Consider the following 24,402-nt stretch of genomic DNA (forward strand, 5'->3'; position numbering starts at 1 on the left):
TTAATTCATAATTAATAAAGTAATATAATTAATAAATAAAGATAAATCTGCAAACTATAATTCAAACTCCTATGAGGAACATTAATACTAAAAATGTCAACCAAAAAACTCAATAATAATAATATATCATGTCCAGTGAAATATAATCAATCAAGAGCTTTTCTGACAGGCTTTGTAAGTAGGTATGTTTAAAATAATCATAGAGATAGTGAGGAATAGCATCCCTCATGCCCAGTGGGTACCTCTGTGGTTGCCATGTGCCATGCAATAGTGTTCAGGATTATGTCACAGCATCGCTCAGCATGGATAATGAAGGATAGCCTTTTCAGGGAAAGGACAGGCTACAAGCCAAGCAACAGCAAGAGAAGAGAAGGCACAGGTGCCCCCTCCTCCCATCTCCCCGCACAGGAGTGCTGGGTGCCCCGCTGGATAGTATGGGTCTAGATTTCCAAGCAACCACTCCCCGCAACACCACAGTAACTACCTATGGGGCAAGCTGGAGCGTAACCGTCTCAATAAAGGGACACACAAACTGTTCCGGCACCAGGCAGTGCCTGTTGTTTACAGGAATCTTTCGAACACTAGCCCATGGCCCATAGAAATTGGACTGTCTCTGCTGAGGGGAAGAAGCCACGGGTCCTATGAGAAGCCAAAATCAGTACACAGCCCCTTGGAAGAAAGGGACTCCTCATCTGCAAAAACAGTCCCAGCCACCTCGTTGTCCAGACAACCCAGAGTGAGCCCCTAGGGACATTTTTTAGTTAATTCTGTTCCTTACATCACACATCCATTAAAAGAACAAAAATAATTATGAAGTAAAAACAGGCAGATATGAATCTAGAATAGATGGATATGAAAAAGAACCAATTAAATAACCTGAAAATGAACTATATAGTCCTTGAAGTAAAAACTAGATAGAGAGTTTAAGCATGAGACTTTACATCAGTGAGAGTCTAAGTCAAATTTTTAAAAAGGGCCACCGTACTCCAGCTGGGTGACAGAGCGAGACCCATCTCTAAAAAAAAGTAAAGAAAAAGAAGCTGGCAACCATATATAGGTGAGTAGATAGATATAGAGATAAATATAGGTATACACACAAATAGAGAAACAAAATCACTGTAAGAAAAATTAACAATCAAAATAAACAACATGAGGAACTTTCCTCTGAAGCACTGCAATGCCCACGTGACCTGCATCTCAACCCTAAATAAAGCGGTGGATGAACGTAAAGGGTAATCCTGACTTAACCTACTCGGATACGGTTTCCTGAGTTAATCTCTCCTTCCTATATTTAGAAGGCAATGCATATTTGAAAGTGATGAATTAGTAATTGCTCCTAATGCTACTGATATTGTCAACTTGTTATATTTTAGCCTTTAAGCTTTCAGAAATGATGGTACAGTCTTTTAATGCTGGGGACGATAGGTTTAATAAAGGGAAACACTATAATATACAATAGATAATAAAGCTGCTAGGCTCGAGGGACGCAATGGGCTTAATAGACAACCAAATCCATCCCCTTCTCCTTATTTATAAGAGATCAAGTATGGTAATGGTATAATTTTGGATTATAAACTGAGATTTGTTAGTGTTAGCAGACAGACCATCAATTCACATTTATTGTCAACAGAGTATACCAAATTTACCACTGAGGGAAAAAACTTTTTTTCCCCTCACGCTTTTATGTTATTGGAGATATTTTTTATTCTCAAAATGAAGAATCACATTAAAGTTATCTGGTCTTCTGATATCTAAGCAGGCACAAAGTTAGACCATTATGAGCTGTTTTAGAACAATGCTGATGGTGCTGTGTTTACAGCCTTTGTAAGATTTACTAAACAACAAAGGAGTATTGTTCGTATTGGCCTGCTAGTGTGTGTGCTGCCTGCTACTGGCTGTTTCCATTGATACTGTGATATATTTCATCCTGTTTACAATACATTGCCACTATCTTTGGCTGCTGGGTTATTGCATAATACAGATTATTTGGCTGTATATAAATTAGTAACTTCACAGTTTCTCATTTTTGTTCCCCTTATATTAATTCATTATATAGGTACCATTCTCCCAGCTTCCCAATCCACCCATTTGCATACATTTCTACTGCTACCTCACTAGTCCATGCTTTCAGAAGCTCACACCTGAATTCGTACAACAGCCTCTTAACGGGTGTCCCAACCCAGCCTCTTGCTCTTCTGAAGCATTCCGGATTCTGTCAGACTAAATTTTCCAAAATAGTATGCTCACCTCTCTACCCAAGAATCTTCACAGGCTCCCAGTTTCCAGTCATTGCAAATACAAATCGCTTATTCTTGAACTTTACTTCTCTTATTATTCTTGAATACATGCTAACTCCTCCCAGTCCTTCAGAATAGGCCTATGCGCAGAATCTGGAGTGAGGCCTTCTTTCAGTCATCAGGCCCACGCTGGCCTCTCCTTTTTCTGTACTACATAGTTCAGTATTTAATCAACTACTTTGTCACCCTATTTTTTGGGTGTTCATGAAGTGTGTTCGTTCGTTGAGGGCAAGTAGAATATGAGATTTGAGTCCAGATATCTAACTTTAAGAACGGAAAGGAGAAATTCAAGTGTGCACAAAGGCAAGTTAGCATGAAAACAACGGGACTGAAATGTACACTTTACACAGCATTTGAAAGAAAGATTTTACTCTGGAGAAACATGACAGTTCATTAAGTGTGACCATTCATGTTGCCCCAAACCCAGCATAGGTTTGAACAGGTATTATTGAGACAAATACACAGGCTCAAAACAAAGAGCTGTCTCTTGTTAAGAATGGTCAAACAGAAAATGACAAAGTGCAGAGAAATCCCTCCTGTATAAAATCTAAAAATGATTGATAAAATATTTAAAACATCTCTTTATAGTAGCAAGGCCAGAAACCCTGAAAATACATAAAATTTTCAGAGCAATAATCAAGCACTAGACTCATTGTTGGCTCTGACGGCATCAGTCCATACCTAATAAGCTGGATTCTGAGTTTTGCTATATCATACACAGACACACACACACACACACACACACACGGCAAAAAGGAAACAAAATCCAGATCCCATGCAAGATGGAAGGTCTGATCAGAGACCCTGGCATAGAGTCAGGAATACCTAAGGGTGATACCCACAATGATAAACCAGGGAAAGACATGGCCCACAGAAGAGCAAAAGGGCACCTATCTTGGCCTTGGTGCTCATCAAAAGCAAAAGAGGGGAAAAAATTCTCTTGAGGCTCCCATATACAAGACAAGCTCACTTTCACTCAAGACTGGGGACCAGAATGTCCAATCTAAAGGGGTCCCAAAAGACCCAAGCCAAAAGGTATGTTCAATATGGTTACAGAATGTAGTGTCCCACAGTGCTTCACAGAGGCAAATAAAATCTCAATAAGGCCTTAACTACAGACCTCAGAGAAATTCCACATACAAAGTTCCAAAGCATGTGGGTTCATGACAATAAAAAATCACGGAACACCTGAAGTAAATACAACCCAAAGACTTTGGCAAGAATGGCCAACTTAAAACTGCAAAGAACCCTCCTATTACAAAACAACTAGATCTTAGATATAAACCTATTTTAAGTACATTTCTGGGCCCATAGAAAAGAAAGGACAACTCCCAGAGACCCCACCCTCCATCTTCTAAGGGAAAAATGTAACCTGAAACCTGACCAGAGAGCTCCAAGCAACAAGGGCACAAGATAAGTTTCCCTGAAGGCAAATGACAATACTAGATCTGCAACCCAAAGACTAAGGGAACTCTGAGCAAGTGTCTAGTTTGGGGAGCTAAACCCAAAACTCCTGCCTTAAAATAGGTATATAGGATGGGAGTAATGTGGTCTCAGGCTAGCAGCGCCCCCTGCCAACAGGCAAAGGCAATCACAAATACTCTAAGCAGGAAAACATACCCTATGTCAACCCCAGAACTAAGGTCAAAAGATACGAGCTCAAAACCTGCACCCAAATGTTTATAGCAGCTTTATTCATAATTGCCAAAATTTAGAAGCAACCAAGATGTCCTTCAATAGGTGAATGGATAAACAATACAAGGGACTATTATTCAGCAATAACAAAAAATGAGGCATTAAACTGCAAAAGGACATGGAAGAACTTAAACATATACTGCTAAGTAAAAGAAACCAGTCTGGAAAAGCTACATGTTATATAATTCCAATTATATGAAATTCTGGAGAAGGCAAACCTACAGAGAAAAAAAATCAGTGGTTGGCAGGGACTCAGGGGTCCAGAAGGAGAGACAAATAGGTGAAGCACAGAGAATTTTTAGGGCAATGAAGCTATTCTGTTTGACACTGCAATGGTGGATACATGACATTATGCATTTGTCAAAACCCATAGTTAAACAACATAAAGAATGAACCTTAATAAATTATGGATTTTAGTTTAAAAATACTGTGTCAATATTGGCTTATCAATTATAATGAATGTACCACACTTATTCTAGATGTTAACAATCGGAGAAAGAGAGAGGAGAAGAGGGACTATATGGGAACTCTATGCTTTCTGTGTAATTTTTCTCTAAACCTAAAACTGCTCTAAAAATGAAGTCAATTTGAAAAAAGATATGAGCGCATAATCAAAGATGATCAAAAATATAATGAAACACAACATGAGTGAGAATAACAAGAAAATCTCAAGTACATCGGATCTCCGAGTTACCACATACAGACCATAAAACAGCCATAGGGAATCACAAAAATTAGAAAACAACAAAGCATGATAAAAAATGACCAAATATATTTGAAAAAACTCAAATTTCAGGTTTGAAAAAAATGAAATTTCAGGTATAAAAAAATATAGTGGCTGAAGTTTAAAAGTAAATTGGTAGAGAAAACTGCAAAGAAGACAGACTTGAAGAGAGACTCAGATGAGTCTAAAAAAATTATCCATATGCCATACAAAGTCATAGGTAGAGAAAATGTAAAAAGGAAATGAACAGATATGTACTATATAGTAATATATTCACTAATAAAGTTTAACATGAACTTAATTGGAGTTTCAAAGTTAAAGTACCACTATTTAACAGAGCAAACTTCTCAACAGCAGCAATGGAAGCCAGAAGACATGGGATAAAATAATCAGAAGTGAGGGGAAATAATTCACAGTTAATAAATTCTTTTGTTCTGCAGTAAAAATATAATAATTTCAAATTTACAGGCATCTAATGACATAGTCTCAAAACACATGGAGTAAAAACTAATAGAAATGCAAGGGGAAATTGATAAACATACCATTGTAGTGGAAAATGTCAACAAATCTCTCTCACTTATTGATATGTCAAGAAAATAAAAATATTATTAAATATAGTATTTAAACAGAATTAATAAGCTTGATTTGCCAGTCATCTATTAAGAATCCTACACCCATTCACATTCTTCTCAAGCCACAATGGACAATTACAAAACCTGGATGTACAATAGGTCAAAAAGCAAACCTCAATGAATTTTGGAGAAATGATATCATAATAACTAAATTATCTGGTCACAAGTTAATTAAGAATTCAATTAACAAAAAAGGTAAATTTTGCCTATGCATGTGGAAATTTATTTATTTATTTTTATTTTATTTTATTTTATTTTATTTGAGACAGAGTCTCACTCTGTTGCCCAAGCTGGAGTGCAGTGGTGCAATCTCGGCTCACTGCAAGCTCCGCCTCCCGGGTTCACGCCATTCTCCTGCCTCAGCCTCCCGAGTAGCTGGGACTACAGGCACCCACCACCACACCCAGCTAATTTTTTGTATTTTTAGTAGAGATGGGGTTTCACTGTGTTAGCCAGGATGGTCTCGATCTCCTGACCTTGTGATCCACCCACCTCAGCCTCCCAAAGTGCAGGGATTACAGGCATGAGCCACCGTGCCCGGCCGCATGTGGAAATTTAAAAACTCACTTCCAAGTAATTCTAAGAGAAAGAACTCACAATGGAAAAATTTTTAGTATCTAATATTGAAAAATAATAAAAATATCATTTGTCAAAACTCAGGGAATGCAGCTCCTTTGAAGAAAATTATACCACCAATTTTTTTTAAATCGAAAAGTCTGTCAACATAAAACGATAGAGTATAGTAGGATAAGTATAATAAAATAGCAAACAAATCCAGAATCTCAACAAACCCAAAACAGACTATATTTAAGAGATGAGTAAAATTCAGGTGACCTTGAACAACATGAATTTGAACTGTGCAGGTCCACTTATACACAGATTTTCTTTTACCTCTGCCCCCCTTCAGACAGCAAGACCAACCCTCCCTCTTCCTCCTCCTCCTGAATCTACTCAACATGAAGATGATGAGGATGAAGACCTTTATGATGATCCAATTCCATTTAATAGAGAGTAAATATATTTTCTTTTCCTTACGATTTTCTTAACATTTTCTTTTCTCTAGCTTATTTTATTGTAAAAATACACTACATAATTCACACAACACAGAAAATATATGTTAATTGACTGTCTGTGTTATCAGTAAGGCTTCCAGTCAACAGTAGGCTATTAGTACTTAAGTTTTGAGGGAGTCAGAAGTTATAAACAAATTTTCAACTGTGCGGGAGGGTAGCACCCCTGACCATCCCCCAAACACTGTTCAAGGGTAAACTGTACATAAAACTCTGGAAAGATTGAGCTGGATAGAGCTAGAGAAAAGAAGAGAGCCATAGCAAAACATACAAAGAATGAAAAAGGGATACAAAGCTATGAATACAGCAGAAATTTAAAAGATAGCAAAAGAATATGAACAAATTTATGCCAATAAATTCGAAGATTTCAATATATGGCTAGAAAAATGCACAACAAATTAACTCAAAATGGAAAATTTGAATGAATTTATAACCATTAAAAAATTGAATCAGTAGTCAAAGTCTTTCCCCAATGTAAATATCATGTCCAGACAGTTTTGCAGACAGGTTTTACCAAACATTTATGAACAGATCCTTCTAATGTTACACAAAGAAAAAGGAATATTCTATAGCTCATTTTATGGGACTAGTGTAACCTCAATACTACTGCTTGATAGGAACAGTGAAAGAAAGAAAGAAAAGAAAAGAGGAAAGAAAAGAAGAAAAGGAAAGAAAAAAGAAAAGAAAGGAGGGACGGAGGGAGGGAAGGAAGGAGGGAAGGAAGGAGGGAAGGAAGGAGAGAAGGAAGGAGGGAAGGAGGAAGGGAGGGAGGGAGGGAAGGAAGGACAGAAGGAGGGAGGGAGGGAAGGAAGGAGGGAAGGAAAGAGGAAAGGAAGGAGGGAAGGAAGGAAGGAAGGAAAAATTACAGGCTAATTTCACTGGCAACAGAGATGTAAAATTCTACAGAAAGTATTAGTAAACAGAATCTAGCAATGTAAAAACAAATCACCAAGATATTTTAAATCTAGAATGCAAAGTTACTACGGTAGAAGCTCTATTTAAGATTTATGTCATTTAGGTGAACAGATTAAATAAAAAATAATATAATCTTAATAGATGTGTAAATTACATTTAATTAAAGTCAATAACCATTTGTAGTTTTTAAAAAGTAAACTAGGAAGAGAATGTGCTCCTCCATAAAGGGTATCTATAAAAGAATGTACAGTAAACATTATGTTCAATAGTGAAATATTAGAACCATTCCCTTTAAAATCAGAAATAAGACAGGGATGCCCATTATTACCACTTCTATTTTACCTTGTACTTGAAAATACTACAAACACAGTAAAGCAAGAAAAAAAAGAAATAAAATATCATGTTCAAGTTTGAACTTATAGCATTACCTGACTTGAAGTGAATGAATATTTTTAACCTTATTAGTAAGTACACATGAATCGGTAGGACTTAACTATTTGCCTGTGTAGAATTTAGCTTTATCTAAACTGGAATAGGAAGTAAAATGGCAAATAAACATTAAAAAACTCAACCTCATAACTAATTCAGCAAAATGAAAATCACAGCGGAGATAATATATCAAGTGTACTCAATCATCAAAAGTGGGAAAGTGAGAAAAACACCCATCATAAGGATAGGGAGCTAGAAGAACACTCATACACTAGTGGAGGGAAAACAACTGGCATTGTCTGGTAGAGGGGAACATACTGCATGTGTTACTCCTATGTAGATATCCCAAAAAATCTCCCAAACATGTGCACCAGGTGACATACAACAGCTTTCACAGCAGCACTGCTTGTAGTAGCAAATTTTCTTTTAAAACACCAAAACCGGGAAGAGCCCAAATGTCCATCCACAGCTAACTGGATAAACATGTGCATAAATGTAATAATATATGTTAGAGAAAATGAATGAGTTGCAGTTATACATCAACAAGGATGAACAATGAAAACATGTACAAAATAGGCTAAATAAATATACCTCATATATTTCTTATGTTTTAGAAATACAGACACATGGTAAAACTACTAAGCAAGGAAAATGTTAAAATAAATTCATGATAGTGGTTTCCTCTGTTATATAGGGAGGGAGCACATCAACTTCTTACTGGCAATACTCTATTTCTTAAGCTGTACCTTAATATCAACAGAATATGCTACCTCAGGTGGTACTGAATTTCCAGCTACAGAAGTTTGCTTTGTTTAAAGAAATAATGTCACTCAGGTGAGATATTTAGAGATAGAGAACACATATATCACATAGGGAACTGGAGGTGATTATCCCTACAATTATCTTGTAACTCTAAAATTTCATAATTCCATATCCACCATAGTAAACAACACAGTGTGTTACACATAAAAACAATAATTACAACAAACACTGACTGAATGCTAATGTTGAAAAACACTGTTGGTTGCTAACCAACATTCTTTCTTATTCTTCCCTGCTAGAAGAATCCAGTTTTGTTCGGCCATCTATCGTTCTCCCAGGTAATTCAGGGTGGTGTATCCTAGCTTGGGCGACATCTTTTACTTAATCTAAACTAATCCTGTACTCCACTGGTGTAGAGTTTTAACATCTGGCCCTGTTCTGGCCAAAGAGACATGAAATAAGGTGAGGGATGTCTAGGAAAGGTTTCCTTGCCCCTAAACAGGAGACCCAGAAATAGATACTCCTTCTTGATGTTGTCGTGCACAGATGTGATATCTAGAATGCTACTGCCATGATGCCGTCAGGAGAAAGACTGGTTTCAAAACTAAGCCAGCTGATCCATGATGACAACACTGAGGCAAGGAATTAAAGCTGGAGTCTTACTTCTTGACTTGTTGGTAAGTAATATGTCATTTTATTGTATATATTTTCATGTTGTTCATATTTTCCCACTGAAGCCATATTAACTGACACACTTACCACGTGCATAGGGTTTCCTCATTTAATCTTTACAGCAATTCCAGGAGCTAAGTACCAGGATGATGTCCATTTGATAGTCAATAAAAATAAAACTTAGAGAATGAAAATAAGTTGCTCGAAGTCACACATATACCAAGTGGCAAATTCTGGGGTGTCTGATTCCAAAACCCATGCTAATAACCTACACATTGTCCTTCCTATGATGCACTTTATTACCTGGCATTCAGCAAGCATTCCCACCCCTCACGGTCCCTCTGTATCACAGAGCTGGTTTCTCAAATTCCCCTATAGCTGAAGTTCTAAATTCAATTCAACTTCTGCCAATGAGATAAACTCATGTGGAACTTAAAAGCCAAAAGGGAAATAAAGGGCATCTACTTGTGGCTGCGAGGGCCGCAAAGGAAATCCCAGTAGACGTCAGTGTGCAATGAAGCCCACGTTCCAGTATTTTGTCCCAAACTTCCAAAGCATTTCAGAAGCATTTTGATTAATTATCTCTTGCTCTGTTTTCACGTTTCACTTCACAATATTTTGGGTACTCCAACAAATAACAAAAGCTAAGGCAGGTAAACCCATCAAAACGGCTTATATGCCTGCAGATTAAAAAACAACTATATAAAACACCAGACAGGCATTTACAAAACTTTTTGTATTAACAATTATGATGTTGGTACTAGTGTGCTTTATCTAAGCATGACTACTAAAGCAGTATTTAACATTTTTTAAGTGGTTATAGGTACTTAGTGAAATGTGAAAACAGCAACTAATTAACACACTAAAAAAGCCAATACAACAGAAGATGACAGTCACTCTTTAGATTTTTGGTATTTTCATACTGGCAATAAAGCATATTGGTCTTCCATTTAGATACTTTTATATATTATATAAGGATATGCATAATGATAGGAATGAATTACTGCTTGGCAAAAAAATGGCCACAGCAAAAGGGTCCACAAAAATTCACCTCTCCCTACAGGTCTCAGTTTAGGGTCCACTCCTTTTTTCTCCTTCCACTCCTTCCTATTTTCTTGATTGCTGAATTATAGAATTTACCGTGGAAATGACAAAGAGTGAAACACTAGATAGATGAGGTAAGAAGTGGTAGAAATTGATAAGAGCTAAACAAAGTGCCAGTTTACGGAGTTAATTGACAACTTAGCAAATGAAAATTTTGTGCTCTGTTGCTCAGAACAGAATTTTTCTTTATGAACAATTTTGATTGTAGAGCATGTGGTTATATATCTGACTTAAAAGACATCATTGGGAGTATTTCGAAATAGATCTTGAAACGAACCTCAATTGGCTCTTCACCACCTTTCACTTGACTTTCCCCTATTTCTCCATTCTCATAGTTGCTGCTCTTCTCCACCCATAGCTCAGACTTTTCTACTGTCAGTCGAAGCTGGTCTAGATCTGCCTTGATTTGCTTGTAGTTATCTACGTCTTGATTAGACACCAGTAATTGCACCTAAAACAGAAGAATTTCAATCTTAGTTGAAGTTCACTATTTCTAGAATATTTATGAATATTTTAGATGTATATTGACCATGAAAACCTACCTAGAAGTAAGTGTGAACACTTAACCAGTATTTTCACACATTATAATTTTTTTAAGTGAGCCCTAGCAAAACTTTTCAAAGTGATTTAAGATTAAAAGATACCCTAACTTTAATTTCACTGCTGAAGTTAATTTTTCTGAGACTCTGTTTGAAAAGAGGCAGAAACAAAAACAACTGGGAGAAAATATCAATAGATACAATCTAAACCTCATCATACAAGTTTTTATTTTCTTATAATTTACATGTATTATATGACATATACATATACGTATTTGATGTATAACTACCCTTTTATTTCATATTCTTTTAACATATTCCTGTAAAACTGCCTAAATGATCAATACCCTATTATGTTAAATAAATAGTGAAACATATGTAAGCACTTACGTATTACTAATTAATAATCTCAAGATTGATGTCTTATTCAAAGACCACAAAGAAAAAGATTAGATCCATAACAGTTCGTTTTTTTGGATTTATGCAGTTTTCAATCATAAAATAATTATTTCAGGGCTATTGGTGCTCCTACCCAAATTCATCAGTAAAATTTAAGGATAAAATAATAGCAGTGGTAACAAAATTCCTAACATGTTATTATCTCCCAGTGCCTTCCCAAATCTTGGTGCCTTTCATTTGTTTTAAAGACATTAACTAAAAAATCACTTGTGGGGAATACCTTCTAAATAGATCACGTCCTGGCATAGACAAGGCCATGTCTCTGTTTAAAAATAGAAAGTGTCTCCAGGAAAAGCCACACAGTGTCATTACCTCTGCAGCCATGAAGTCAGGTTGGATGTTATTAACACTTTCAGAGCTTTTGCTGTGGATGCATTGAGGGCTCTTCAATCTTACCTGCTTAAATGCCTGTAAAACCTCTGCCCTCTGGCTGAAGTGCTTAAACAACAGCTGCAGGGCTCCAGACAGCAAAGGCGGGTAGTCGTGCATGATCAGATGAATGAGGACCCGTAAAAACGTCCTGCCTCCTTCATCGTCAAGTTGAACTGGATTTTTTTCTTTTCTATAAAACCAAAAACATTTCTAAAGTGACTCCTATTTATATAACATCTACACTTCAGTATTAGAATTGTATACGTATTCTCAGAGGTATATCATTTGTTTTACCAAATTAGGAAGTGAACAGGAAAACATTTTCTTTGTTTTCCTCATGTAACTGATGAGGAAACAATCATAAAGAAAAGCTTGTGTCTGTCCATGAAAGCAGGGGTGATCAAACATCCCGGTTTATCCAAGACTCAGGGGTTCCTAGGGAAACTGGGATGAGTTGGTCACCTTGGCATAGACAAAAGATGGGCATCTGCATCAATCCAAAAGCATTTATGGGAGGAGCTGTGCTAGGCTGGATGTACACCGATGACTGATTTCCCCTGGGGCCCTACAGACCCCTACATGACAGATGGGGAGGAGTGGGGGAGGCCAGCGCACATGTGCGTGAACCAGCACCAGAGTGGCCACAGGTGTGGCGTATGAGGACTCTGGGTGAGGTTCCACTGGAACAAAAGGTCCATCTGTTTCAAGATGAAATCATATACTGGTTCATTTCTCCTAGGGAATAATGAAATTCTTCAATAGGAAAATACAACACCACAAACTAGTACTATAATATAAAAACTAAACTAAATGTTCACTAGAGATAAAAATCCTCTTTTTGTGCCCCTAATTCTTGATTCTTGTTTGTCTTTCCAATGACAACAACAAAAACTGCAATAAGATGCTTAGTGTAGTCGTCCCCACTACCCTACCCAACTCTATCTGTGGTTTTACTTTTTGTGGTTTCAGTTGCCCATGGTCAACCATGGTCCTAAAATATGAAATGGAAAACTTCAGAAATAAATAATTCACGAGTTCTAAATTTTGTGTCATCCTGCCTGTCCCATTTGGGACATGAATCATCCCTTTGCCAGCATCTCCACGCTGTACGTGTTCCCCCATCATTAGTCACTTAGTAGCCGTATCAGTCATCAGGTGACTGCTGCAGGGTCACAGAGCTTGTTCAGGTAACCCTTACTTTACTTAATAATGGCCCCAAAGTGCAAGAGTGGTGATGCTGGCATATTGTTATAATTGTTTTATTATTAGTTATGTTGTTAATCTCTTAGTATGCCTAATTTATATATTAAATTTTATCATACGCATGTATATATAGGAAAAAACACAGTGTATACAGGGTTTGGTACTAGCTGTGGTTTCAGGCATCCACTGGGGGTCTTGGAATGTAACCGTAGCAGATAAGGAAAGACTACTGTACAGACTGTTTTTAGGGTCTCATGTCAAGTCTGTAATATAAATGAGCACCAGAAGCTTAATAATTTGTAGCTTAAACATTTTAATTTTTCTTTTTGATCACTATTAACTTCATTTCTGAAGAACAAACAATATTAAAACAATAAACGGCAGGATTCCTGATGGCAAAGGAGGCTAGTCATGTCAAAGGTGTCTTGTTTTATTTAATCATGGGTATTTCCAATTGGCAGAAAATGGCTTTATTTCTTACATATAAAGTTAATGATAACATTAAAGAAGTTACTTTCTTGCCTCAAATATCTAAGATTCAGGGAAGCAATGTTTTACAAGACTCAGTGATATTTATACCAGGGGAGTTAAAGGGCATTCTTGGGCTGTCATTATTTGAGGAAAGAAAAGCAAAGAATTCAGAGGAAAGTTCAATACACTGATCTCATCTCTCTTGTCCTTTTTTTTACCTGACCTAAAGAAAAGCTATGCTTTCTCCTCCAGAGTAAATTAGCAGCTTCATTTCTGGCAGAAATTATGTTAGCAACAATAGAGGGTCTAAAAATAAATAGATATAGAGTGAACAATATCAAAGTATCAATAGAATTCTAAGTAAAATGTTATTCACAAGTAAGATAAAGATATATAAATGTTACTATACCTTCCCGCAAACATAGTTTCTGCCTGAGCTGCAATTTCATCTATATCAGGAACAATAGCTGCAAAGATAAATGGTAAAATCTCTTCTTTATCCTATTTTAATTAGGAGCCATAATAGTCATATTAATATCAATTGATGTGAAAATATTTTTGTCTTCATTTCTTTATTCGACCAAAAGTCAATTAACACTAATAATCTGATTTTAAAATGGGCAAAAGATCTGAATAGACATTTCTTAAAAGAAAACATACAAATGGCAAACAGGTTTATGAAAAGGTGCTCAACATCACTGATCATCAGAGAAATGCAAATCAAAACTACAATGAGATATCATCTCACCCCAGTTAAAATGACTTTTATCCAACAAACAGGCAATAATAAATGCTGGTGAGAATTTGGAGACAAGGGAACCCTCATACACTGTTGGTGGGAATGTAAATTAGTACAACTGCTATGGAGAACAGTTTCGAGGTTTCTCAAAAAAAAAAAAAAACTAAAAATTGAGCTACCATATGATCCAGTAATTCTACTTCTGGGTGTATATGAAAAAGAAAGGAAATTTGTATGTCAAAGAGATATCTGCATTTCCATTTTTATGGAGGCACTATTTACAATAGCTAAGATTTGGAATCAACCTAAGTGTCCATCAACAGACAAATGGATAAAGAAGTGTGGTACACAGACACAATGGAGTACTATTCAGCCATTAAAAAAAAGAATGAGATCCTGTCATCTGCAACAACATGGATGGAACTGGAGGTCATTATGTTAAATGAAATTAGCCAGGCACAGAAAGACAAACTTCTCATGTTCTCACTCATTTGTGGAAGCTAAAAATTAAAACAATTGAACTCATGGCGATAGACAGTAGAATAAGAGTTACCAGAGGCTGGGAAAGGTAGTGGGGTGGGCGGAGTGGGGATGATTAATGGTTACAAAAATATAGTATGACAGAATGAGTAAGATCTAGTATACAGAGTGACTATAGTCAATAATAATTTGTTGTACATTTTTTAATAACTAAATGACTATAATTGGATTATTTGTAACACAAAAGATAAATGCTTGAGGTGATGCATACCTCATTTATCCTGATATGATTATTACACATTGTATACCTGCATCAAAATACTCCATATACCCCACAAATATATACATCAACTATGTACCCACAAAAATTAAAAATTAAAAAAATTTAAGTCAATTAACAGTTTGAAAAAAATCACAATATAGTTCCACTAAGACATCAATGTAATTTTTTAATGTAAACTATGTTTTAAACTAATGTATTGCTGTAATCAAAAATATGTCTAAAAGATCAGAAAGCACCAGTTACAAAGGTGCCTCTTATCTAGAGAAGTGTGTGTGTATATATAGATCATATATACATACATATGCACATACTTACATATAATTTAAATGAGTGATAAATGGGAGGATAATTCTTTAAAGAATCAAAATATACATACAATTAGCCTTGTTATTATATGGTTATTTCCAAACACCATGGTCTTTTTACCTAAGCTTACTATTACTAAAATTCCGTCCCTTTTTCTTGTGGGAAAGGGCATTTTTTTTTCTACGTGAACCAATCATGATTCCTTACTGTCCCACACCACTAACATTTTGAAGATAACTTTACTAAGATAACATGGGGCTTTTTGTGTGTTTGTTTGTTATTGAAACAGGGTCTTGTTCTGTTGCCCAGGCTGGAGTGCAGTGGCACAACTTCAACTCACTGCAGCGTCGACCTTCCAGGCTCAAGCAATCCTCCTGCCTCAGCCTCCTGAGTAGCTGGGACCAAAGGCACGCGCCTCCACTACTGGCTAATTTTTTTGTATTTTTTTGTAGAGACAGGGTTTCGCCATGTTGCCCAGTCTGGTCTCAAACTCCTGGGCTCAACCAATCCGCCCCCTTCGGCCTCCCAAAGTGTTGGGATTACAGGCGTGAGCCACCATACCTGGCCAAGGTAACATGTTTAAATGATAAAATACACCACTTATTTCTCATCTCCAAAGCGTAAAAAGAAACACAGTAAGATATAAAAGTGGAAAAATAATTCTCCCCAGAAAGGTATCCCTTACTGGTACAAAAAAAGGAAAGAGATCAGGTAGAGAGAAAGGGTTTTCTGGGGTGCCCCTAGACTTTCCCTCTGGTACTTTACTGACACTTAAAACTCATGTTTCCAGAAGCCAGGCCTCTGGGAGTCAATAATTTTTATGCTACTGTCAATGCAACCGCCAGCAAGACTTCCTGGTTCTGCCATATCATTCCTGGAAATAGCCCTTTGGGGTTCTACACTTCTGAGAAGCAGAAAAACAACACCATTGCAAAGGTGCCAGAAGAGAAGTCTTGCTTAGACAAGCTCAAGTCCTTCTGCAGCGGCATGCTGCCTTTTGATGGGACTAATGATTCAGACAGCAGGACAGTTGGTCTAGTATCCATTTTAACTACATGCTTGTAATCACTGAATCATTCCTAACTGATTGATGGACGAAGAAGAGGGGAGAGTTCCTAATGTCACAGTGGTGGCAGTTAGAAGGAAGTTTCACATCTGTGTACAAATCCTATTCTCACGAAAAGAATTCCATTAGCCGGCTAAATCTTCAATAAGACATACTTTTCAGCCTATAATGACTTGGCCTGACCTGTCCAAAAAAAAAAATGGTAATTTAATATTTCTTAGTTTTTCTAAAGTTCTTTCAATAGTCACAAAATTTTTACAATCATAACTGTGCTCTTTTGTTATGCTCCAGTGCTCAGAGATAAATTAGCTTCATTTTTACACTTTTTAAATATGAAAATTGAAATATAGTTCCAGTTTATAACTATACAAAGTAAATTTTTTTAAAAAAAATCCACACACACAAAATGAGACCAACAACCACATTCAAGTCTTTGGGGAATGCCACGTCTTTATTCTGGATCAGGCAACGGCTTCTCTTCAAAACACCTATCCTTCTGATAACTACATTTCGCACTGCTCTTTGATCCAGGCAGAAAAACTTCTCTTGGATTTTCACCAAAACATCATGATGCTGAAAAGATTTGGACTCTCGAGCTGGAGAGACCTCAGAGAGAATCCTTGTGCCACTACTTTCAGGACCTTTGGCAAGTAACTTAACCTTTCTGACCTTGGTTTTCTCCTCTGTAAAATGGCACAGTAAACAGTATGTCCCAGTCCTGAAGATTACAAAGGAAAAGGCATTCATAGGAGTTAGCAACAAACGACAGCAAACACCCTCCACACCATTCTAGGAGAGTTATTTCACAATCTGTCTCAGTTCTTTGATGTCGTTAGTGGAGATTACATCTACATTTTTGTCTCGTAAAAATATGAGGAAACCATCATTCTCAGCAAACTAACACAGGAACAGAAAACCAAACACTGCATGTTCTCATTCATAAGTGGGAGTTCAACAATAAGAACACATGGACACAGGGAGGGGAACATCACACACCAGGGCCTGTCGGTGGGTGGCGGGCTAGGGGAGTGACAGCATTAGGAGAAATACCAAATGTAGATGACGGGTTGATGGGTGCAGCAAACCAACATGGCACGTGTATACCTATGTAACAAATCTGCACGTTCTGCACATGTATCCCAGAACTTAAAGTATAATAAAAAAATTTAAAAAGCACAAAAAATATAATTATGTTTTAAAATATGATAGGTACTTTCAAGTTCTCAGAAAAATAAAATAAAAAGAGTAAATACTGTCACAAAAAGATACCTGATGGTAGTAAAGTGTCTGGAGATCCACTGGCAGATGTCTCCGCATTGTCATTGTCCTCTCCAAACTCCTTCTTATATATTGACAGCATATATGAGATCCTATAATCCAGTCTGACACTCAGGATAAACTATAAGAAACATTAAGAACAACATAAATTTCTTTCATTAGCATAGTATTTAAAAATGCAATTCACAACACACCAATAACAGTGGAAGTACCAACCTTTCAAAGGAACTAGTTAGAAGCTTTTAACACCAGTTGCCACATGTTTGTCAGCAATGACTAAGCAAGGGAATTCATTTCTACTAGCTAATGTCAGTAAAATCCCAAAGCAATTTTTGGAAAGAACATTTGACTCCCTATGACTGCTCTCTGAATATTCCAGCTAGAGGCATCGTGGGGGTCTGGATGAAGAGGTAATGATGACGTCATTTTACTGAACATTTTACAGAGTGCCATTGTCTCTGGGAGGAGACTGTTGGAGGTGTGACCCTCATTCTTACACAGTAGGGCAATAATTCAGCTACAATAGTATGACTGTGACTATACCATGATCAGTCCTAAAGCCAGGTTCTAAAAGGACAGTTTAAGTAACAGCATCTATACACCATGGATTTTCCTCACTGGTGTTTGTGTTTCCTTGAGTTTGGGTTGCTGTCATTGTTCTCATTCATGGATGCACGGACAGAAACTAAGTACCTAGCAAGGCTCCAGACTGTGCTAGGTGCCACAGGGAATGCAAACACGTGAAGCCTACTGCCCTCAAAAAGCCAATAGTCGAGTTGGGAAAAAAATATAGCACTGTTAGCATAATTAGGAAACTATTGAGAGCTAAATCATGTGGTCTAAATACAACAGAAATCAAAGAAGAAAAAGCTGGGATGTGCTGCAGATCAAAGGAGAGGTTTTTACATAGGTACCATCTGTCCCTGTCTGCCTGAGAGAGGCCCTGTTTAACCTTTTGTTTCAGCATAATTATTAATGGTGCCCCTACATTCTCAAAAGTGTCGTATTTGGACAGTAAACAATGTGGTCACCCAAGTTTTAGGAAGATTGGCATTTCATGGTATCATCTAACTTCATCTCTATCTATACCACCTGTGTCCCATCCCTCCCTCCTCCTACGCCCCTTCTCTCATCCTCTCTCCGGTTCTAACAGCACTGGAGTGCCTGCACTTCCGCTCTTGCCTCCGCACAGGTGCTCACAGTGTCCACTTTACTTTGAATATTCTCCTCCACTTCATAATAATTACATTTTAAGATATCCTCTCTCAGGGGCAGTGGCTCATGGCTGTAATCCCAGCACTTTGGGAGGCTGAGACAAAGGGATCGCTTGACCTCACGAATTCAAGACCAGCCTGGGCAACATGGCGAAGTCCCATCTCTACAAAAACACAACAAATTAGCCAGGCATGGTGGTGCGTGCCTGTAATCCCAGCTACCATGGATGCTGAGGTGGGAGAACATTTGAACCCACGACCTCAAGGCTGCAGTGAGCCAAGACTGTGCCACTGCATTTCTGCCTGGGTGACACAGCAAGACCCTGTCTCAAAAAAAAAAAAAATCCTCCAAGTTCCAGTTTAAATTCTTTTTTAACGCAGCTTTCACTGGTTCCCCAGTCACAATCTGAATCAATCTCCCTCCTTTCCTCCCTCCCTCCCTTTCTCTGTCCTCGTCTGTCTCAGTCTCTCTCTTTCTCTTTCTCTTTTTCTCTCTCTCTCTCTCTCCTCCCCCGACCCACCCAGCCTTTGCTAGACTTTTATGCTTTTTATGGACACATCCTCCATGTCAGCTGTACTCAGCTGGTTAATTCACCAGACATGCGTTAAACAAGGCATTGAGGAAGGCACTAAGGGCATAAAAAGGTGCCAAGGATCTCAATCCTGCCTTTGAAGAACTTACAGTCTAGAGGGGAAAACAAACACCAGAGACTCTTAAGAACGTGTGGTGAGGGCTGGAACACATATTGATTGAACTGATTCTTGGTAGCAAAGGGATTTGCAGGGCAGGAGACAGCTCATGGGAAAAGAGGACTGAGAAAGGGCATGGGATTTGGTAACCATGAGCAGAAGGCAGGGGGCAGAGCTGGACTGCAGATGCTTCACATGGAAGGGTGTTTAAAATCCTATTTTTTAAAGTAAAGGATAAATCATAAACAAATGAAACTAACTTTCAGTTGACAATGTTTACATGCAGCATTGTATTCCATAAATACAATCAAAATTAAAACTTTCATTTCTCTAATACGCCTAATCAGGAAAAACAAGTGGAAAGTAGAAAGAAAGGAGGAAAGGGAAGGATAAAAACAAAGGCAGAGAAAAAGAATTAAGAGAGGGCCAGGAAGAGAGAGAGAGAATGAGAGAGAAATGAAAAGAGAGAGGCTGAGAGAGATACACAAAGTGATGGGGGGGAAAAAAAAAAAGAAGACCCAGGGGGAAGAGAGGAGCTGGCACAAGGCACAGGACCTTGAAGTCCTTGTAGCACCAAGGAGTAGGGCTACAAAGAAATTCCTGAAGAGCCATTCCAAGAAAGACACATTCAGAAACAGTACTCAGACACATACGCACGGTGGAGCCGGCCCAGACACAGGGATAGAAAATCAGAGTGAATAGCGGTTCAAGGAGACGCTGCAGAAATGAATCAGCCCCGGACTGCTGAGCCGTAGAAGCTCCATCTCATCCTTTTTTAGCTGTTGGAGATTGTTTTTCTAATGCTTTTTTTCTGTAAATGTGGGCTAAAATGAGGTCACGTATTTTAGAGTTTGTCCCATGAGTCAGGTGATGGTAAGCTGGGGATCAGTAGGTCCATGGGTCAGGTGATCGCTATCTTTCTCAGTTTAAGAACAGGAAAACTTTAAACGATTTTTCAGGGTCATGAACACAGCATTGGGAGGCCTGCCAATATTTCTCAGGATTCAGCCTTTGGAATTCCTAGAGGAACTGTGAAACCTTTTATGATTATAAATCTAATTACTTTAAATGAACAATGTACAGACCCTTAAAGGACTACTAACCCACTTCTGGTAGCTCAGTCTATATTAAATTATGATGAAAGACACAGTAAACTGTACCTAGATTCCTAATAGGTACTTGAAAACTTCAAACTCCATTCTCCAAATCTGGAATAAATGCTATAATTAAGGTATCACAAAAGGTATTTTCAAACTTAAAAACTGCTAAGAATTTATAGCTCTCGTAATGGGAAGTCTATTCACTAAACCAATGGGCATGAAATAATAATTTATCTCCTTTAAATTCTTAAAATTAGGCATTAGACTAGGTTATTTTTTCTAGTTATTCCTTTGTCCTTTAGAAACAAAAACAGAGAGGGATTGTCACATATAAAATACCAAAACCAATGATTAATAATTTTTGTTAATAAGAAATAAAATTTTATTTGTCTTTCTTGCTAAAACAATAAATCTAGATATATGGAATCACATGTTCAATTCAATTAAAAATAGGAAAAGAGCTGGAAACTAATCAATAACTTTGCTTGCTCTGAAATCCTTCTCAAATGAAGGTAAAGTTCCATCAGGGACAATACTAATTTTTTTTAATACACATGAAAGCAGTTTATCAACCTCAAAGCACCCCACAATTGTTAGATATGATCATTAGTATATTTAATGGGAATGGACAAATGTGATTCATATGTTAAATAGCGTCTGTGTGATATTTTTTACCAGGTTTGTCATTAACTTAAAAAAATAAAATTATATTGATAGCATTTCAGAATATTTACACAGTGATTTGGAACAAAAAGGGTAAGAAGTTAAATCAATAAGCAAAATTACATCTTTGTCACCTAGCTTCTGTTAGGCAACACACCTGCAAAATCTCAATGATCTTCAGCTTGGTGTCCATCACAGTCACATCCTCGTGCTCGGTGGGGCTCCCTTGCTTGCTCGGGTGGATGCTGGGTGGCACATCCGGCACGCTCATGGGGAAGATGGAGCCTCTACTGAGTACCATCTGGGTCATCATCTCTCCCACCCCATGAATGGTTCTCATCACATTGTTTCCTGGCATGAGAAAATGCCGTAAGTCAACACACACAACCCCTGGAGATCATGTAACTATAAAACTCAGTTAGTCACAACCACACTGAAAAGCAGCCAGGAAAAGGATTCAGGATAAGACAGAATAGCATAAGCATTGTTTGGGCTCTTTCTTTACAGATAAAATTAAGATATTGCAGACATGTTTCAAAATGACAACTTTTAAAAATGGAAATTTTCCTTTTTCAGAAAATGCTTTCAAATCATGTAACAAAGGTGAGCAGGTTGCTCTAACATCCAAATCAGGTCCTTCTGTAACACAGTATGTCCTACTAACTGTCATACCAATAGGCCCTTGCTTTTACAATAATGCAAAAGAAGATTACTAATCGCCAAGATAAAGTGAGTTGCAAGTGGGGATACAAAGACTGCCTAAAAACATTTAGATATTGAATTCCAGCATCATAATCTGATCCTCAAACCAGGGATTTTTTAGCTTTCCTTTCATAACACTTATAAAAAGAGCTTGTGAGGAGGACTGTTACCTTTATTTTAAGAAAAAATAGTCTCATCTGGGGAAGACATATGCATTAGCCAATACACTTCCCATTCCTTCATCCAATTTGAATAGAAAACCATTACTCAAAATCCACAGAAAGCAATAATGTTTGAGGTGATTATGGAAACAAGCTAGTGACAAACATGATCATTTTCAATGAGGGAGGGATCACGCTCTTTCCGTCTCTTTCTGAATTTGGCTTCTCCTTTATTTGCTGATAAAATGTCATCATTCGTATCATGCACACGTTCCTTACACTGACCACAAATAGCTGTATCCAAGGATCCTCCTTAACACTATGACAATTTATGTTCTCCAGCCTGAATGCTGCTTCTCACTTCTAAGTTCCCACAGGAAGCAATAAGGATGCAAAAGAATGGCTGTCTCCATTCCTTTCCAAACAGTGGTCTTTGCTTCGTGGGTGTTCATGGAGCTCTGCCTTAAGCAAAGGCCTAAGAATCTGGCTAAGAATTTTCCTTTCCCTCAGTGTCTCAGGGCGTAAACCAAGAGAAAGAGAAATGGAAATAAGATGGGATGAGATTTTTATTAAAAAAAAAAAAACTCTGAGCTCTAAGAGAAGAATGTAAACCATGGTAATACCTACAGGATCGAAAGGCAAACAAATAAAAAGAAAATATGTAAAAGATGACAAGAGAATCTGAATGGTCCAGACCACAATTACCATTAAGCCACTGGTAAAGACTATTATCTGTACATTGTGAAAAGGTAAAATGCCTTTGAAAATTCATTATCTTATCTGTATATGGAATCAATTTAAGTGTAAGAGGGTAGTGCTTCAGTAATACATCTTAGAGTACACAAAGAAGTTACATTTTTCCTAAAGTGGCATAGTCCAGGCAGAAGTTTTCATTTTGAAGGTCTGAGACCTTTTATTACACTGCTACTTGCATAAGCCAAAAAACACGACAAAATGTATATATAAGTGTAATTTCCAAGTTCGGACAAAATTGAGGCAAAAGGATTTGAGCCAGCCCCTCTTTTCTATCAGAATAGCCTTGAGGCAGAATGCTTCATTGTCTGTGGTTCTCAAACAATCATAGCAATTGAGTATTTCAACATCCCTCCCCCTGCTTGCTACATGGACTGCAGGGAGGCACATCTGGTTGTTGGCAATGATTTTGAGCCATCGATATTTAACCACTACCTTTATCTGAGACTTGATTCAAGTATGTATACGTGTTTGCCTCCAAGAGATGCTTTCTCACTACTAATACAGAACAGGCTCCTTTGTTATTCTTACCCCTGATTCACACACAAATCCTTGGCACCCACAGTGTCTGCATCTTATTTAGATTTGCATGGAAAATAATCCTTTAATCCAAATGATTACTACACAGAAAGTTAGCCCAGACAATTCTTTCCCCCAAATATAGATCCTGTCACCAAGGAATTAAAATCCAGAGGCCAGATCCATAGTAATTTGTAACACATGTCGTCAATGAAATGGGAGGGTTCACTCAGTCATACCACATTCTCAGATGCCTGTGGCACGTGGTCGCCACAAACCTCACTTGACATTTCCATGTATGGCCAGCTCAGAGGCCTCAAATTAAAAATGCTACATTTTCTGGATTTGGTTGGTGGTGATGAGAAGTGCTAAAATTGTGAACCATTACAGCTTGAAAAACATGAAGTCAGACACTGCATAAATCACAGCCATGCAAAGCTTCTAATATCCATTCCTCCAGAGAAAAACTTCTAATTCTAAACTGTTGAGATAAATCAGAGGTGATTAATCCTCAACATTGCAAAAAAAGAAATTGTACTACTTCTCAACCATAATTAGTTAATATTGACTGGAAAGTTTTCAGTGAAAAAGCCTACTATAATATAAATTCTCTGAACAACCTAATGCTTACAAATTCAGCTTTTCTGTGTCTTTTATATAAACCCAGCAGCCAGAATTGGCATTTGTGTACAAAGTGTAATGAGATAATTTGAAAATATGGAAGTCATCTTTGCTAAGTACAAAGTAAGAAGGAAGGAAACGCCAGGCACGGTGGCTCATGCCTGTAATCCTAGCACTTTGGGAGGCCAAGGCGGGTGGATCACTTGAGGCCAGGAGATGAGACCAGCCTGATCAACATGGTGAAACCCTGTCTCTGTTAAAAATACAAAAACTAGCCGGGCGTGCTTGTGGGCACTGGTAATTTCAGCTACTCGGGAGGCTGAGGCAGGAGTATTGCTTGAAGCTGGAAGGCAGAGGTACTAGTGAGTTGAGACTGCACCACCGCACTCCAGCCCAGGCAACAGAGCAAGACTTCATCTCAAAAAAAAAAAAAAAAAAAAAAAAAGGAAGGGACTGCTTAGAAAGAATGACGGGTCAACTTTT

General features: G+C 37.6%; 1 protein-coding gene across 8 annotated transcripts in view; it reads right to left on the bottom strand.

Moving 5' to 3' along the window:
* ITPR2 (inositol 1,4,5-trisphosphate receptor type 2) overlaps positions 1 to 24,402 on the bottom strand; it is a 497,843-nt gene that overhangs the window by 275,194 nt on the left and 198,247 nt on the right. For all 8 annotated transcript variants that reach the window (XR_001748686.3, XR_001748687.2, NM_001414174.1 and 5 more), the window contains 5 exons: positions 21,321 to 21,514; positions 17,488 to 17,617; positions 13,754 to 13,811; positions 11,695 to 11,860; positions 10,578 to 10,751 (listed from right to left, as the gene is read on the bottom strand). Coding sequence is in view for 6 of the 8 variants with exons in the window: in NM_001414174.1 (NP_001401103.1) it covers positions 10,578 to 10,751; positions 11,695 to 11,860; positions 13,754 to 13,811; positions 17,488 to 17,617; positions 21,321 to 21,514 (722 nt within the window). In the remaining 2 variants the exon portion in view is untranslated. The remainder of the gene's footprint in view (positions 1 to 10,577; positions 10,752 to 11,694; positions 11,861 to 13,753; positions 13,812 to 17,487; positions 17,618 to 21,320; positions 21,515 to 24,402) is intronic.

The sequence above is a fragment of the Homo sapiens genome, chromosome 12, assembly GCF_000001405.40.
Source record: "Homo sapiens chromosome 12, GRCh38.p14 Primary Assembly".
NCBI classification, from domain to species: domain Eukaryota; kingdom Metazoa; phylum Chordata; class Mammalia; order Primates; family Hominidae; genus Homo; species Homo sapiens.